This window comes from Homo sapiens, chromosome 21 (genome assembly GCF_000001405.40).
Source record: "Homo sapiens chromosome 21, GRCh38.p14 Primary Assembly".
In the NCBI taxonomy this organism is placed as follows: Eukaryota; Metazoa; Chordata; class Mammalia; order Primates; family Hominidae; genus Homo; species Homo sapiens.
This window is the reverse complement of record NC_000021.9, coordinates 40681470-40698376: the sequence shown is the minus strand read 5'-3', so window position 1 is coordinate 40698376 and position 16907 is coordinate 40681470. Positions and strand designations below refer to the sequence as shown.

The 16907-nt window shown below is 43.3% G+C and overlaps 1 protein-coding gene across 3 annotated transcripts in view; it reads left to right on the top strand.

Moving 5' to 3' along the window:
- DSCAM (DS cell adhesion molecule) overlaps positions 1 to 16907 on the top strand; it is an 836160-nt gene that overhangs the window by 148782 nt on the left and 670471 nt on the right. For all 3 annotated transcript variants that reach the window (NR_073202.3, NM_001271534.3, NM_001389.5), the window contains exon 3: positions 5421 to 5567. Coding sequence is in view for 2 of the 3 variants with exons in the window: in NM_001271534.3 (NP_001258463.1) it covers positions 5421 to 5567 (147 nt within the window). In the remaining variant the exon portion in view is untranslated. The remainder of the gene's footprint in view (positions 1 to 5420; positions 5568 to 16907) is intronic.

Genomic DNA, 16907 nt, shown 5'->3' with positions numbered 1-16907 from the left:
ATTTCCCAGTAACAAAACTTTCTTCCCTTTTATGGGCTGACCCCTCGTCTACATTCTGTTTGCTTATCGTGACCTTCTAGGTGCATGAGCCATGCAATTTGTTACATCTGCAGGCTGGCTGCCAGTGCTTAGATTTATTATGCCTTGAAAATGGACCATTTAAAATGTTTTCTCACATTCGCTGCTGTCAATGTAGACCAACCGTGTGATCTCTTGCTCAATAAATAAGCCATGTGTGTGTAATCAAAGTAAAGTTGATTTCAGTTTTAAATAACTTCTTATAACTATAAGATGCTTTTCGTAAGCTTCATGGTAACCACAAAGTAAAAACCTATAGTAGATATGCTAAAAATATAAAGAAGTATGAAAGAAATTGAAGAGGACACACACACACAAAATGGAAAGTTATTTCATGCTCGTTGATTGGAAGAATTAATAGTGTTAAAATATCTATACTACTCAAAGTGATCTACAGATTCAAGGCCATCCCTACCAATGACATTCTTCACAGAAATAGAAAAAAAAATCCTTAACTTTGTATGAAACCACAAAAGACTCCGAAATGCTAAAGCAATCCTGAGCAAAAAGAACAAAGCTGTAGGTATCACACAGTCTAATTTCAAAGAATACAACACAGGTGTAGTACTGGCATACTATAGCATAGTACTGACATAAAACAGACACATAGACCAATGGGATAGAATAGAGAATCCAAATATAAGTCCATGCGCTTATACCCAAATCATTTTTGACAAAGGTACCATGAACACACATTCAGGAAAGGGCAAGCTCTTTAAAAATTAGTGTTGGCAAAACTGGGTATCTATATGCAAAAGAATGAAACTAGATCCCTGTCTTTAACTGTGTATGAAAATCAACTCAAAGTGGGCAAAATACTTAAACTAAGTCTTGAAACTATGAAATTACTGAAAGAAAACACTAGGGAAACACTATAGAAAATTAGTCTGGGCAAAGATTTTTGGGGTAAGGCCTCAAAAGCACAGGCAACAAAAGCAAAAATAGACAAATAGGATTACATCAAGCAGAAAAACTCTGCACAGCAAAGAAAATAAAAATCAGCAAAGTTGAAGAGACAACATGCAGAATGGGGAGACTATTAATATTTGCAAACTCTCCATCCAACAAGAATATAATGATGGATGAAACTGGAGGTTGCTATGCTAAGTGAATTAAGCCAGGCTCAGACAGACACACATTACATGTTTTCACTCACATATGGGATCTGGAAAAGTGGATCTTATGGAGGTGGAGAGTGGAATGGTGGATACCAGAGGCTGGGAAGCAAGGGGATGAGGAGAGGGGTTAAAGAGTAGTTGGCTGAGGGGTATAAAAATACAGTTAAATAGAAGGAATATGTTCTAACATTTGCTGGCACAGTAGGGAAATTATAGTTAATAATTTATTGTATATTTTTAAATTGCTAGAAGAAAAAAGATTTACTGTGCTCCCAACACAGGGAAAAGATTGAAGTGATTGATATTCCAATTACCCTGATTTTATGATTATACATTTTATACAGGTATGAAAACATCACATGTACCCCAGAATATGTACAACTCTTATATCACAATGAAAATATTTGATTAAAAAAATAAATAGGCCTGATTTTGTTTCAAAGTCATATTACCAGAGATTTTTTTTTCTTCTGATCTAAAAAGATGACAGATTTTACTGAATGAAGGCTAAAATGATTGCAGTGGACCCTACTGGCATCCCTGAATCAGATCCCCCAAGATCTGCGCGCTGGTTGCTAAGAACATGAACCTGCAGCCTTCAGAGGATTGCTTGGGCACTGGAACCATTCACAGAAACAAGAGTGGGAAATGCCTGGGAGTTCCATCCTCCTGAGGCCAGCCCTAAGCCAATGACAGACAGCTACAACAGGGGATCCCAGCTCCTCTGCATGACCGAGCATGTCAGGTGTGGCTGGGACTTCACCTGAAACCACACACCTGCTTTGCTGCTTCCCTCCCTGCCCTACTCACACTTTCCCTGCCTCTCAGGGGATTGTGTCCTTGCTCAGTCGCTTGAACCCAGCTCCTCCTTTTGGGGTCGAATAAGGAGAAGGGATGGGGAGTGTGCAGTTTTCTTCTGATCCCCGTTCTCTCTGAGCGAGCTGGGGTTCAGAGCACCACAGTGCTGTCCCTGCTTTGAGAAGATCTGGGCTCTCTGGGGAGAGCCTAACTTATGACACCAAGCACAGTACTTAGATAATACTCTGTCTTATAATGCAAATGTCAATCAAATTTAAAACAAAGTGTATTTTTTTTTTTGCCTGCATCTCAGGTTTCTAGCCCAGTGTCTGTTACTGCAACAAAGTTAGCAGTAGTTGGATGTAGAATGAAGATCAAGGCTGCACCCCTGTCTTCGGGGCTGACTATGGGCTCAGGAAACTCACATGGCCCTCTGAGAGATATATCGCCATAGACAGCAATGTTGGTGTCTTAAGTTATGGAGGCCTCAGGAACAAACAATGCTCTATTACAAAGATTAGGAGCTTTAATAAAACCCTGATTTGCATTTTTTTAAAAAACTATAGATAGTGGCTATAAATTCAAATGTGCATACATGTATATTCTGTAAAAGGATTAGAAGTTCTCCCAGAATGGAAGCTCTGTCTTTCTATATATTCAGTCTCAAAATATGTATTGAACACCTCTTGTGTGCCAAGTATTTTCTAAGATAATTTTTTAAAGGCTCACTGCACAGGCTATCTTTGTGGAATGAGTAATCGAATAAGGAGAAGGGATGGGGAGTGTGCAGTTTTCTTCTGATCCCCATTCCCTTTGAGCGAGCTGGGGTTCAGATCACCACAGTGCTGTCCCTGCTTTGAGAAGATCTGGGCTTCTTGGGACTGACCTGGAGGTTGGAGAAGCAAAAGTCACACAGGTTTAAAATTGTGACTACTAAGGTGTCCTGGTACTGGTGAGGGCAGTGGGTAGCTAGAGAGGAGAAAACTCCATGATATGTGGGTAAGTGCTGGGACTGAGGGGTTTCCTAGGACACTGGACATTGGGTGGTAACACTGGGAATGTCCCCGGTCAGTCACCCCATATTTTTATGGCTCCTGTGATCCCATCTAGTGTAGGCTGTACACCTGGTGGGAAGGCATTTCCCGTGTCTCCCGGTAAACAGGTGAACATCTTTTCTTCTCACTTTCCTGTCTGATACATGGAACTTGACCCCTTTCCTTGATTTCTATTAAAAATTATCCTACTTGAGTCATTAATGTTTGAAGCAGAGTCTGCGGAAGGTTTGGGGAGACAGAGTGATTTTATTGCAAAGAAACAAGCATCACACAGACAAAGGAGCTTAAATTGAAATCATTCCCCTGCTTAGGGGCACTATTCCTGTGACGGTAGACTCTCTCTGTTGACCAGTCCCTCTTTCTCCTCTGTCCTCCATCCTCCTCTTCTCCTCTCTGTCTTCTGCTTCTCACCATGCCCAGATTCTCACCAATGAGTTTGATTAGTTTGCCTATATCTTCATAGTCTTTTTCTAATCTATTACCGTAGACCTCAGCTCCCAGCAAAGGTTTACTTATGCAGGAGCCTTTCTGTACAAAGTCAGTTCCCTCCTCTCGGTGTAAGGATGTTGTTGCTGAGGTCAGTCTCTTGGGCGCCCTGAATTTTTGCCTAGTGGACCTCCTGCAGGAGGTGTGGAGTTGCTGCCTGGACCTTCACCTCATGCCGCTTGGGGATTACAGTGATGGGGGTCGCAGAAGATTTCAATACTTGGAAAAATCTCTCTGGTTAGATACAATAATGAAGAAATTCTCCAAGTTGGGGAAAAACGGCTAATGTTAAAAATGGAAACTGGAGAGGAAGGCTTTCATGAAAGACATGCTTTACTACAAAAATGCTCAGCATATCACAAGGTTAGCCCGACCTTAACAGTCCTCTTCTAAAGAGCTCACCTCTGCCTACTGGGAGATTTCCCTTGAGAAATTCACCTTTAGCTTTGTTGGTGTGTTAGTACCTTTTGAAACCATTTTCATGGCACATATTTGTCCAGTAAGTGATTAATTCTTTAAGTGAGGTGGTTAGATGATTAGACAATAAGTTATCTCTGTGGGTATCTTAGAAAATCATAGACTTATAAGATTTAGACCTTGAAGAGGTTCCCACCACAATGCCCTCATTTTAAATTTGAGGAAAACAAAGCTCTAAAGAAGTAAGGCTGGCACATCTAATTGGGACTATATTCATCAGTGTCTTACTTCCCTGGAGACAGATCTTCCCCAACCCTGGGGATCCATCTCTGGCTATTGGTAAGTGTGGCCTTACCCAACCTGCTTCTAGCAGACACTGTTGAATTTTCACCTACGTTAACTGATTCACCACAGTCACCCTAGGGGGCAGATGCTACCAACATCATCCCCATGGTATAGATGGTGAGAGGATTTGCTCACTGCCCCACAGTCAGGGAGTGGCCGAGCTTGGATTTGAACCCAGGGAGTTGGGCCTGCTAGGTAGGTTCTGAACACCAGTACCACCCTGCCTCTGAGCCTAGACATCAAGGACGTGGAAGTCCACTCTGCAGTCTTTCTGGGATGCTCCTATCATTGGAGTGTTTGGGCAGGCTGTCTAATCAACATCCTTCCCTAAACAATGGGAAGCAGGATCAGTGTTTCCCAAACTGCTTTGCAACTGTCATTTAAAAATTTACTAATGAAAAATTATTTTAATTGTCTCAGAGTTCTCAAGGCTTCCCAGAAAAATTGCCTTGCCTGAATTTTTTATTCATTTTTTGCAGTCAGAAAAAAAAATCTTCCTCGGCCCTTAGAGGACTAATAGCAGTTTGCCATCATCATAACTTTGCAGAGCCAGTAACTTTTCTTTCATGAAGCTATTTCCTATCTCATGATACCTTCAGGGGGTCTATTAACTATTTTCGATTATACTCTGGCCCCTTGGTATAGAGTGTAGTGTATTTTTTTTTCTTCACCCAGGCTGGGTGCAGTGATATGATTATAGCTCACTGCAGCCTCAACCTCCCAGGCTCAGGTAATCTCATCTCAGCCTCCCAAGTAGCTGGGACTACAATCACACACCACCATGCCCAGCAATTTTTTTGTATTTTTAGTAGAGATGGGGTGTTGCCATGTTGCCCAGTCTGGTCTTGAACTCCTGGGCACAAGGGATCTACCCATCTTGGCCTCCCAAAGTGGTGGGATTACAGGCATGAGCCACCTTACCCAGCTATGTATTGTTAAGGGAATGAATGTTTTCTTAAGTCAGGCGATGAAAGACGTGAAATGTAGGCATCTTAACTGTTTTCCAGAAAGATATGTTATGCAATTGATGTGTGTGTGCTGCAGTGTATATATTACAGTGAGATACTCTCAGAATGAGCCTGTTGACCGTGTGCCTTACTGACGTCCTCTTTCTGCCTTCCAGTTTTACGGGAGCCCTATACAGTCCGTGTGGAGGACCAGAAAACCATGAGAGGCAATGTTGCGGTCTTCAAGTGCATTATCCCCTCCTCGGTGGAGGCGTACATCACTGTCGTCTCATGGGAGAAAGACACTGTTTCACTTGTCTCAGGTAGGCTTTGCGTCTCCAGGGTGCAGGACACCACGCTCACCTTCTGAAAAGGTTATTTCAGAGATGGAATCGGGTCTCCGTTTATGTGTTCATCATAATTCAGAATTAGTATTCTTAAGGCTGATGCTATTTTGTAAGTAAACCTGAAATAAGTGTTTTGTATTGGCTTATAATGGCTTGATTCAGACATCCTTTGGTGGGTTGACTGATGAAGAGAGATTAGTTACCGGCACTGTAACTGTAGCCATTGTGTTAACTTTTTTGAGAAAATTGTGGTTTTACGTCTGCTTCTAAAAACAAGGTAGTAGTATTTTGCATCTGTGAGAGACCTCAGCATTGCATATATAGCTGACATTCTGAAACTAAAATCTGGAAAATGGAAGCCCTGTTTTCATGACCTTTTGGTGCTTTCCAATGTCTTGAGAGTTATGTTGTATCTCTGACCTATTTCTTGAAGATTCTACTAAGAATATATATGTAGCAATGAAATGTATATTTGCATATGAATAATTTCTTGGCTTATATTTGGTGTGTAGAAAAGACAAAATTTAAATTTAGCCTCCAAGAAACTGCAGTTCTTCATTTCTAATGGTGTTGATTTCTTGCTCTGTGCTATTTACCTGGAAAGGCGACTGTCCGCGTGATGCATGGTGCTCCTGTTCTTACATCCTTGGATAATGACTGTTGGCATATCTCAAAATGTGTTGGCTGCTTTCGGAAAAGAATTGTGAGGAGCATAGTCTGTGTTCCGATGTGGATTATAAATAGTTGCCTTTTTTAGACATGTCTGTATGCCCTCACATGCGGGTGCACACACGCACAACACACATGTTAACAGACTTCTTGACTAAGCAACATTTTATCCATTTATAGAGAGCAGAATTTGGAACTAAACCCTCACGGTGACACACCGTTTTTGTTTCTCAGCTTATTGATTAGCTAGAGAGGTTGGTTACTGTACACCACCACCAGAGGCATTTAAAAGATCCAAATCAAAGTTGAAATACATTGCCATCATAGCACATTACAGGAATCTAGGATAGAATGGAATTCTTAGTTTTTATGAAAACATTGTCTTTACAGTGAATTCAAAACCCCTCACACTTCAATGAACAGTACATTCCTTGCTGTTATGTTGATTAATTATCATAATTTAACTTAGGGTGTTGAAAAATACTAAGCTTAATAACTCAAATGCGATTGTAATAATCAGAATAGAGACTCCCTTATACATTTTTATTTGCTAATTTTCAGTGTTGAAACATCTTCATCTTCTCTCCTTAGGGGTCATGTTAGTTGTCTTAATGGCAAATGGAAGGATTTGATGACAGTCATCTGGCTAAGCTCGGAATCAAAGGGGAGAGGCCCTCCAATTTATATGGCAAGGGAGTATAGGTTCAGGGAGTGGAAGAATTGGGAGCTACCTTTTCAATCTTCCGGACTCGGTGACCTAGGATAGAGACTTCACCATCTTTTAACCCTGTCATCCAAATTTTCAGCTTCATGGTCTGCTCTGGCAGAGGAAGAGAGCATGGGAGAATTACAAACGCCTTCTTAGTGCTTCCACTTGGAGGTGACACATGTTATCTCTGTTCATATTTAATTGGCCAAAGCAAGTCTCATGGCCATGCCTGACCTCAATGGGGCATGTGCCTGAAGGAAGAGGAGAACTGGAAATCTGGGTGAGAAATTGAAATATCTACCAGGAGGATTTTTTTAACTTTTATTTTAAGTTCAGGGGTACATGTGCAGGTTTTTTACACAGGTAAACTTGTGTCATGGGGGTTTGTTGTACAGATTATTTCATCACCCAGGTGTTAAGCCTAATACCCATTAATTATTTTTCCTGATCCTCTTCCTTCTCCCACCCTCCACCCCGAAGTAGGCCCCAGTGTGTGTTGTTCTTCTCTATGTGTCCCTGTGTTCTCATCATTCAGCTCCCACTTACAAGTGAGAACATGTTCTACCAGGAGGATTTTTGAATCTCTTTGGTTATGCATAATACGTGTGTTCTTTTGTTTTTAGACATCTTTAATTAGCAGCATCCTCATTGTTCTTGTTTCACCTTTTTGCAATCTCTGTGAACAGACTTTATTTTCCTTCAAATGTGAACCTAACTAAATAAAAAAAAGGAAATGTGTATCTAGTGAGGGGATGATGCTGGCATGCAATATAGAATTTATGCCCCTCTGATAGGAACTGTTAAAGCCCATGTCCTCTCCTCAGTCAGATACTGGAGCTTCATCCTTTCATACAATTTTAAATGCAAAAGTTTTGGAGAAGTGCTTGGTTTGTACTTCACAACAGCATCTAGAAAATAAATACAACACAGGTGTTTATCTTATTAAGGAATACATCAGTAAGAAGCTTTGGTTGGTTTGTAAGTAAATCACTGAAAGAAAGGGAGAGAGAGACTTCATATCAGGTCGTTCAACCTGAGTCGAATAGACTTGTCACTAAAAATGACCTTGTAAATGACAACAAGGCCCCAAAGCAGTGGCATGATCTGCTAATAGAAAGTCTGGAAATTGAGCATTTTACCTGACTTCTGTTGCTCACTGCTACAGTCAGACCCTGTTCCCAGTGTCTGAGCTCCACCCATCAGCAATGCCCAGAAAAGGAGGTCATGAAGTCACTGGAGGTGACGCATGGTTTAAAACATTGGAGATCTTAATAAATAAACCATGCTCAGGAGGTTTAGGTGGAGAAGGGTTATATTTCTCTCTGGTTACCAGCACAAGGCACAGATAAGGACAGAGGACAGCCTCCCTCCCCCATCACCCAGGCTGTGCCGGGGTGGAGGCCGCTAAAAGGAAGACCCTCCCTCCCTCCACACTGGCTGGGGCTGAGCCACTCCAGGGAAGCACTGGGATTCTTGGCTTCAGGGAACGACCTTGCATAGCACAGAAGTCCCAGGAACAGAGGGACTTTTTCTAAATTAGCCCTGACCTTCAGGGAAGCTGTCCTGAATGCCATATGCACAGCAGATGACCTGTAAAAGGTTAATTTGTCTCTGCTTTGTATATAAACTGTAACTCCTGCGAGCTAGTTTGGATTTATTCCTTGGCATGGCCATCTCCCAGGTCCCTCTTCCCGGATTATCAAGTCATCCCAGCCTGCTGGGATCTGGCTGGGAAGTTTGTTCCAGGAAGCATTCGTACTCTGCAGAGATCACTTCCTTCAGTGGTTGATTCTTTCCATGGAGAAAAGCGATTAACTAAATCAGCCATGGAAATAAGCCTGTGTAAGTATCTTACTAAGTGAGTGAGTTAGGAGCAGGTATGGGAGTGCCAGAGAGTTGACCTAGGATAGCTGAGAGCTGATGGCAGTCAAGAGAGGGCCCAAAAGCATGATTCACAGGCCATGGCCCAACGTGCCCCACTGGGCTCAGGGCGAAGTGTGACCTGTCAGCCTGGGGGATGCTTAGCTGCTCAGCCTTGACTGTTGGGAGATCCCCTGGGAAGGTCGGAGCAGCAAAGACCTGCTTCTAACAGATGAGCTTTGGGTTTCTGTGAATCTCTAGGCCAGGGGACCTTTGGAAATCCTGGTGAAGGTAAATGGGTATTTGTCTTCTACAAATTCTTTTTTAATGAAAAGCAAAATTAAAGATGTTTGTGTATTTCCCTAAAAAGAAGCAAAATGGTTTCTATTAGTATGTCTCACTAGGTTTTGCCCTTTATTTTGGTTAAGAAAACAAATGAGTAGTTTATTTTCCTGAGAAGCACAAATGCAGTGTTTGTCAGGGTTTAATGAGTGTTGTGCATATTGTCATGGTTCCTTTTGGGAGCTTACTGCACATTAGGGCCTGCATTGATTTCTTTCCAGGACAGGCTTCGGTTGGCCTGAAGGTAGACGCAGGAATCAAGTTATGCCTCTTCATCATATGAGGCCATGAGGCTACCATTATCAAGGACATTAATGAGTTCATTGATTTGGAGTGACCTTTGGAAAGAATACCCCAACAGCTGAAAAGTAGAAATCCCATAATTCTACCAAATGGAGGAAAGATTCATAATATCTGATGTTGCTTTTCTGCCTGCCTGAGCTCTTCCCTGGGCCCTGGGGCCTTACAGGGTGACCCTTCCCTCTGGTATGATGGATGGGGGTGGGGTCGTAAATGTGCAGAGGAAAAGCATTTCAGAGACAGGCACACAAGGTGCCATCAGATGACCTCAGTTAATATGACAGATCCTGACCTATTGTGTTCTTACCTCCCTAAAATGAGCCAGGAAGAACAAGAGTCATGATGTCTATGTGGATTTTTTTAGACATCCTCATCACTTATCCTAAGCTGCAATGAAATCCTTTTAAATGCCATAATATTAATGTAGCCCAGTAAAAATATAGTAGCTTGAATAATGACATGCTTTTGGAGGTACTGCTGATGTGGAGATACATAAAACACCATCCTGGAAAAAAACAATAACACCGGCTTTATATTTGGGTTTCCCTTCACAAGCCTGTTGTGAATTTCCTCCCGATTAGGGAGGCCAGCAGTAAGAGAGCCCAGCCTTCCGTTTCTGTTTCTTCTGATAAAATTGTGAGAATCTCACCAGGGGTTTAGCTACATTAACATCAAAGACACAGCCCAGGGGTAACCGGATTTGGAAAATGGAAAAAGCAAACATTTTACTATTCCCAGAGAAACTGCCTCCCTCTTTAGCAGTGGCCCAATTTTCTGCTGTAATATTTCCTATCTGAATACCTCTATTAGTGATGATTCAAGGAGAATTTTACCTCTTAGGATCATTGAGTTCAGGTCGAAGGATGATTATCTTCTTTCTGTATTTTGGCTAAACGTGAACAATTTTCTGCCCACATGAAATATCAAAGGACATAAACCAACCACTTTACATGAAACATTGGCTGTAATTCTTCACTGCCACAACTGGGTCTGGGCATCATAGATCACGCAAGACTTGGGCTTTAAGAAGCACTCCCTCCCCAGGCCCCTGCAGAGATGGTTTCTGCTGTTGAGATGCTTGGGGAGATTCCTGCACTGTCCCTCTTGGGGTGTTAAGTGCTGCAGTAGGCGCTTAGGGCCTGAGGCTGTAGCTACACACACGGTTTTGCCTGGGGAAGTAGAGAAGGTTTCAGAAAGGAGGTTGTGATTTAAGAAAACCTTTGCATTTTAGAGAGGGGAAAAGAGATTATAGGTACAGCCAACCAAATTAGACAAGGCTGCCCTTAAGCACGTTTCAGCAAACCAGAACTAAGAGCAGATTGGATGCCGTATTCTCATGTGGGGAGGGAGGGAGAGCTAGCACAGCTGTCGGGGGGACCTGAGGGTCATGCTGTGGGGGGCCTCTGCTTTGTGCACTCTTGACTATAGAAGTTAACCTTCCCTTTCTGTGGCACTTCTATTGTGATTTTATTGCTCCTCACTGAGCATTTTCCAGACATCTGCTATGCTGTGGCTGCTATCTTGCGGAGACCTGAGTCTGCCCTCAAAGAGCTTATGAGTAAAAGGAATGAGATAAACATTAAAATAATGTGAAATTTAAAAAAAACCTAGAGTCACCTGAAAGCCTCATCTTTGATTTTAAAAGTGCCAGAGAGTTGCAGAATTAAAGAAGCATTTCTTTAACATTCACTGAAAAGAAATTCGTGGGACCAAATGAAAAGTATAAAAGGAACATTTTTCTGTCTGTTATCATCTACCTAGCTATCTGTCTTTGTATGTATCATCTAATCTTCTATTTATATTGCTTTTAGTAAATAAGAACCTCATTTTAAACACTGGAAAGTATTCTCAGCTCAGAACGTGCACATCAGACTGGAATTAGAAAGGCACAGAGATGTCATGTTTTTACCATGCTATATTTTTGGGAGTGAATTAACTGAGAAATAGGAAGAGAGGGCCCTGGTCTCTTTCTTTTTAAAAATCATTAATTATGTTATACTTTTTCCATTTAAGTCTATCGCTCACTAAATTAGGTTTTGCATGTTACCCCGCTGCCACCTGAAAGTAATTAAAAGCTGGTTGTTTACAGCTCTGGAGAGCCCCTGTGTGACACCAAGAATGGGGGTCGTGTAAGGCGAGGGGCACAGCCTGAGTCTCCAAACAGCTGCCAGCAAGGCTCCAAAGCAGCCACAATAGCAGCTAGTCTGCAGGGCCTCAGCCTGCCAGGAGGAGACCTGCACCCATTCTGAAAGCTGCAAACTGTGTATTGTGGAGTACAACCCAACACAGAGAAGTACGCTTTTGACTTTTGAACTACCAAAACAAGTAGATAGACACATAGAGATAGGTATGTTAATATTTTTTCTTTAAAAAAGAAAACAAGAAAAGAAAGCATTGGGGCAAATTTAGCCCAGAGGATATCAGGAGGGGTGTGTGTACATGTGTGTGATGTGCGTGTCCACATATGTGTGTGGTGTTTGGTGTGGTGTGTGCATACGTGTGTGTGGTGCATGATGTGTGTTTGTATGTGTGTGTAGTGTGTGTGGTGTGTGTGTGGCATGTGGGGTGTGTACTCTGTGTATATGTGGTGTGTGTGTGTGCCGTGTATGGTGTGTGAGCTCTGTATGTGTGTGGGGTGTGTGTGTGGAGTGTGTGCTGTGTGTGGTGTGTGAGCTCTGTGTGTGTGTGTGTGTGTGTGGAGTACGTGCTATGTGGTGTGTGTGCTCTGTATGTGTGTGTGTGTGATATATGCAGGGGGTGTGTGTGATGTGTGTGCTCTGTATCTGTGTGTTGTGTATGTGTGTGTAAAACCTCATTTGTTGGGCCACTCAGTCACACTAAAATCCCCCTTGATTTCCTATTTTAAGTTTCTGGAATATGACTTGATTGCAGCGCTGACTCAGGTTAGCTGGGTGGCCTAGGGAAAGGCGTTTCTATCTCTCTCTGTTTTTGTTTTTGTTTTTGTTTTTGTTTGCCTCAGTTTCCTCCCATGGATATGCAGTGATTTCTCTAGTCCTCTCCCACAATACAATGCCAGGATATTAAAATTCCAAATTGAATATTCCACTTCTTAAGCCAACTGCTGTCAAAGTTATTTTTTCACTTTCTTAGATTTAATCTTGCAGGATGTTACATGCCCATGTCAAAGGTCCCCAAGCCCACCCTCAGGTTTGGTGATCTGCCAGGAAGACTCAGCATGTAGCTGCATCCATGGCTGTGACTTAATACAGGAGAAGGCTATGGAGCAAAAGCAGCAAAGGCAAAAGGCACATGAGGTGACATTCAGAGGAAAGCAGGCCCCAGCTCTCAGGGGTCTTCTCCCTGTGGAATCACTAGGAAGCACTTAATTTCTCCAGCAATGAGTCATGATAAGAGGTGCAATGTTGTCTACCAGGGGAGCAGGAGAGCTCCTGGAGACTCAGTGGCCAAGGTTTCCTTTGGGGGCAGGTCACGTAGGCACCCTGGTATGTTTGGTATGTGCCAAAGTTCCAGACTCCCCAAGGAAGGCAGGTGCTCATCATGAACTGTATTGCTTATGCAGTTCAGGCAGTGAGCCACTCTAAGGGTGGTGGGAACGCTGCCAATATCCTAGTTCCCAGATACCAGCCAAGGGACAGTCCTGCAAGCAGCCCTTCATAAGACTGACAGTCTCAGACCTACTGTGTTAACTCTTCTCTGTGCCATGCAACTTTTTAAATGATGTTGGCTCATCTTCATTTTCATACATTCAACGATCACTTTGCATATGCTCATCATGAAATGCTGGAGAAAGCAAATGAAGAAAATCTATGCTTTATGTACTTTATTGCCTTGTACCCAAGTATTTCAAGCCTTAAGAAAGGTCTCATCCCAAATTATTTTAAGGTCTGAAAACACATTGACTCATACTCTTCCCTTGCTCCACCTAAGTGTAAATGGAGTTCATTTTATATTCTGCCATTAAGGATCTTCTGCTTTCTCTCTCTCCCCGTGATGTTTGGTTCTTTCTAGACATGGGAAACAGATGGCCAGCTAAGTCAATCAGATGTAATTTGGACACAAGCATATTCTCTGGTCTGTTGTTCATCTAAGAGTTTTCATTTCAGGAAAATTCAAGAGAATAACAGGATCATTTAGGAAAGAATATTGTGTAGTGATAACCATAATGCTGTTAGATTATTATTATTATCGACAAGCTAAAATAGATGTCACAAATCAAGATTTGCTTAGACAATGTGCCACAGTATAAGAAAACAGGATTTGAGATTGAGAAATATAATTTTTGACTCAGAATAACTTGCTAGCTACTCAAGAAGTCAGTGTGAACTCAAGGTATTGTCGAGCAGAGATAAAGGTGGGTTGGACCAGGCTTATGGTGCTGTGTCCTTTGCTCTGGGCTGGAGCAGGTGGAGGAAGGTCTCCTTAAGCAGATGGGTTGCTTGGCCTCCAGAAATCCCTCAGGCGGAGCTACCATGGCTGTCAGCCCTTTGTGGCTGTCCTTCTGAGCAGATGGGGCAGGATGGAGTAAACCATCCAGCAGCCCAGACTTCCTCTCTCCTCAGCAACCGCGTCACCTGTGGAATCCTCAGTCTAGGAGCCACCCCGCTTCCCTTCTCCACCGTCAGCCTGTGGAGCGTTCCTGCAGACTGGGCACATTGAGCATTTATGCCAGTCCGGTTTCTTTTTTCTTTTTTCTTTTTTTTTGATGGAGTCTCACTCTGTCACCCAGGCTGGAGTGCAGTGACGCGATCTCGGCTCATTGCAACCTCTTCTCCACCGAGTTCAAGTGATTCTCCTGCCTCAGCCTCCGGAGTAGCTGGGACTACAGGCACCTGCCACCACACCTGGCTATTTTTTTTTTTTTAGTAGAGACAGGGTTACACCATGTTAGCCAGGATGGTCTCGATCTCCTGACCTCGTGATCTGCCCGCCTCGGCCTCCCAAAGTGCTGGGATTATAGGTGTGAGCCACCGTGCGTGGCCCGGTCTTAACCAGCTCTTCACTGATTGTCTGGATGCTCAGGTGTTTTTGCGCCCGCGTCTGTATAGCTGAAGAGGTCTTTCCCAAGCTTTTTCTCAGCATCCTGGAGCACCCCATTCTCAACTCTGCTGCACCTACTCTCCAGTGTTCAAAGGATCGTAACTTTTCACTCTGCAGGGGCTGAGAACAGCTTTCTTCAGATGACCCTTTCTACCTCCTTCATGGCTCAGCCCCACGTTCTCTCCCACAGGAAGAGCTGTCCTCTTTCCTTCCAGCTTAGCCTCCCACCGTGCTGCCCTCCTGGTCCCCTTACCTGCTCCGGCGTTCTAGGACCTCTTTTCATCAGCTGTGCCCTCTGTTGCTTCAGACAGCTTCTCTTTAGTAATTACCGTATTTCTTGTGACACAGGTGCTCAGGTCCCCCAGTTTTAAAGAAACCTTTCCCTTTGCTAACTTCCATACTTCTTTCTTTCTCTGTCTTTACTTTCTTCCTTCCTTCTTTCTTTTTTCTTTCTCTCTCTCTGTCACACACTCCTTTCATTCTTTCTCTTTCTTCTGGCAAACTGTTTGAGATAATAGTTTATAGTAGTGAGTATTTTGGGCTTTGCCTGTTACAATCTACTGAAATTCACTACTTCAAGATCACCCATGACTTCCAAATGTTAAATCCCAAGGCTGTCTCCTGGTCCAGTTTCTCTCTGACCTCCCTGTTAGATGTACACAGTTGACCTACTTCCTCTGTTGGTTCCTGTATTTGGCAGCTCTGGACGCCAAAACAAAATATCACACACTGGGTGGCTTAAACAACAGCAATTTATTTCCTTATAGTCCTGGAGCCTAGAAGATTGAGATCAGGCTGCCAGCATGGTCAGGTTCTGATGGGGGCCTCATCCTGGCGTGCAGATGGACGCCTTCCTGCTGTCCTTACATGACTGACTTTCTCATGTTTCTTCTTGCAAGGACACTAATTCTATCCGATTAGGGGCCACCCTTATGACCCGATTTAACCTTAATTACTTTCATACTCCAAATTACTTCTCTTAGTAATTACTGTATTTCTTGTGACACAGGTGCTCAGGTCTCCCTTCCCTTCCCTTCCCTTCCCTTCCCTTCCCTTCCCTTCCCTTCCCTTCCCTTCCCTTCCCTTCCCTTCCCTCCCCTCCCCTCCCCTCTCCTTCCCTCCCCTCCCCCCCCCCTCCGCTCCCTTCCCCTCCCCTCCCCTCCCCTCCCTTCCCCTCCGCTCCCTTCCCCTCCGCTCCCTTCCCCTCCCCTCCCCTCCCCCTCCGCTCCCTTCCCTTCCCTTCCTCTTTCTTTCTCTCTCTTTCTCTTTCTCTTTCTTTCTTTCTCTCTTTCTCTCTCTCTTTCTCTCTTCTACCTTTATTTTCTTCCTTCCTTTTCTTTCTTTCTTTCTTTTTTCTTTTTCTTTCTCTCTCTTTCTCTCTTTCTTTGGGGTTAGGGCTTCATCATCTACAACTTTAGGGGACACAAGGCAGTTCATAGCAGTTGCTCTCCTTTGGTTTGTATCCAACTACACTGCCTGGTTGATCTTCTCTCTGAATATTTCGGTGCTATCTCTTTCCTTCAGTTTGCATCTTCCCCTCTCAGAAATGTATGTCAATCTAAAAGTCCAATCCCATCCACTTTCTGTATTGGTCATTTCATCATCTTCCAGGGCTTCATCCATGACTTGCACCTGTGTGACCCCAACTTCGGACCTGCCTTCTCTCCTGGTCCTGCTTATTCACTCCCCCGCATCCCTCTGGCCACCTCCAACAAAGGAAACCTTCCCCATGACCACAAAGGAATTTCCCTTTGATTTATTCATTTATTTTTCAATATCATGACTGTATTAGTTTCCTAGGACTACAAAAAAAAAATACCATGAACTGACTGGTTTCAAACAATAGAAATTTATTTCCTCACAGTTCTGAAGTCTGCAAATCCAAAGTCACAGCGTCAGCAGGGCTGTGCTGACTCAGAGGGCTGCGGGGAGGGTCTCTGTCAGTACTCTGGGGAGGGTCCCTGTCAGGCCTCCCAGCACCTGGTGTTGCCTGCGGTCCTTGGCTCCTTGGCATCCTTGACTTGCAGAAGTCTCACTCCATCCAGTCCCTCCCTCTAGCGACATGTGACTTTTGCCCTGTGTGTGTCTTTGCATTTCTTCTCCTCTTCTAATAAAGCCAACAGTCATATTGGATGAAGGGCCCACCTTATTTCAGTATGACCTCATGGTAACTTAAATGATTACATCTACCACAACCCTGTTTCCAAATAAGGTCACATTCTGAGGCTCCAGAAAGGACATTTTTGGGGGAAGCTATTTAACCCACTATGATTACAAATTCTTCCAATTCTTTATTTGCCCTCTCTCACACATTTTATATCTTTCCATCTCCTGCTGGACACACAGTAGACAACTGATAAATATATACTCAATGAGATTCTTAAAAAAAAAAAAAAAGCATTTTTAAGGGAAGGAAA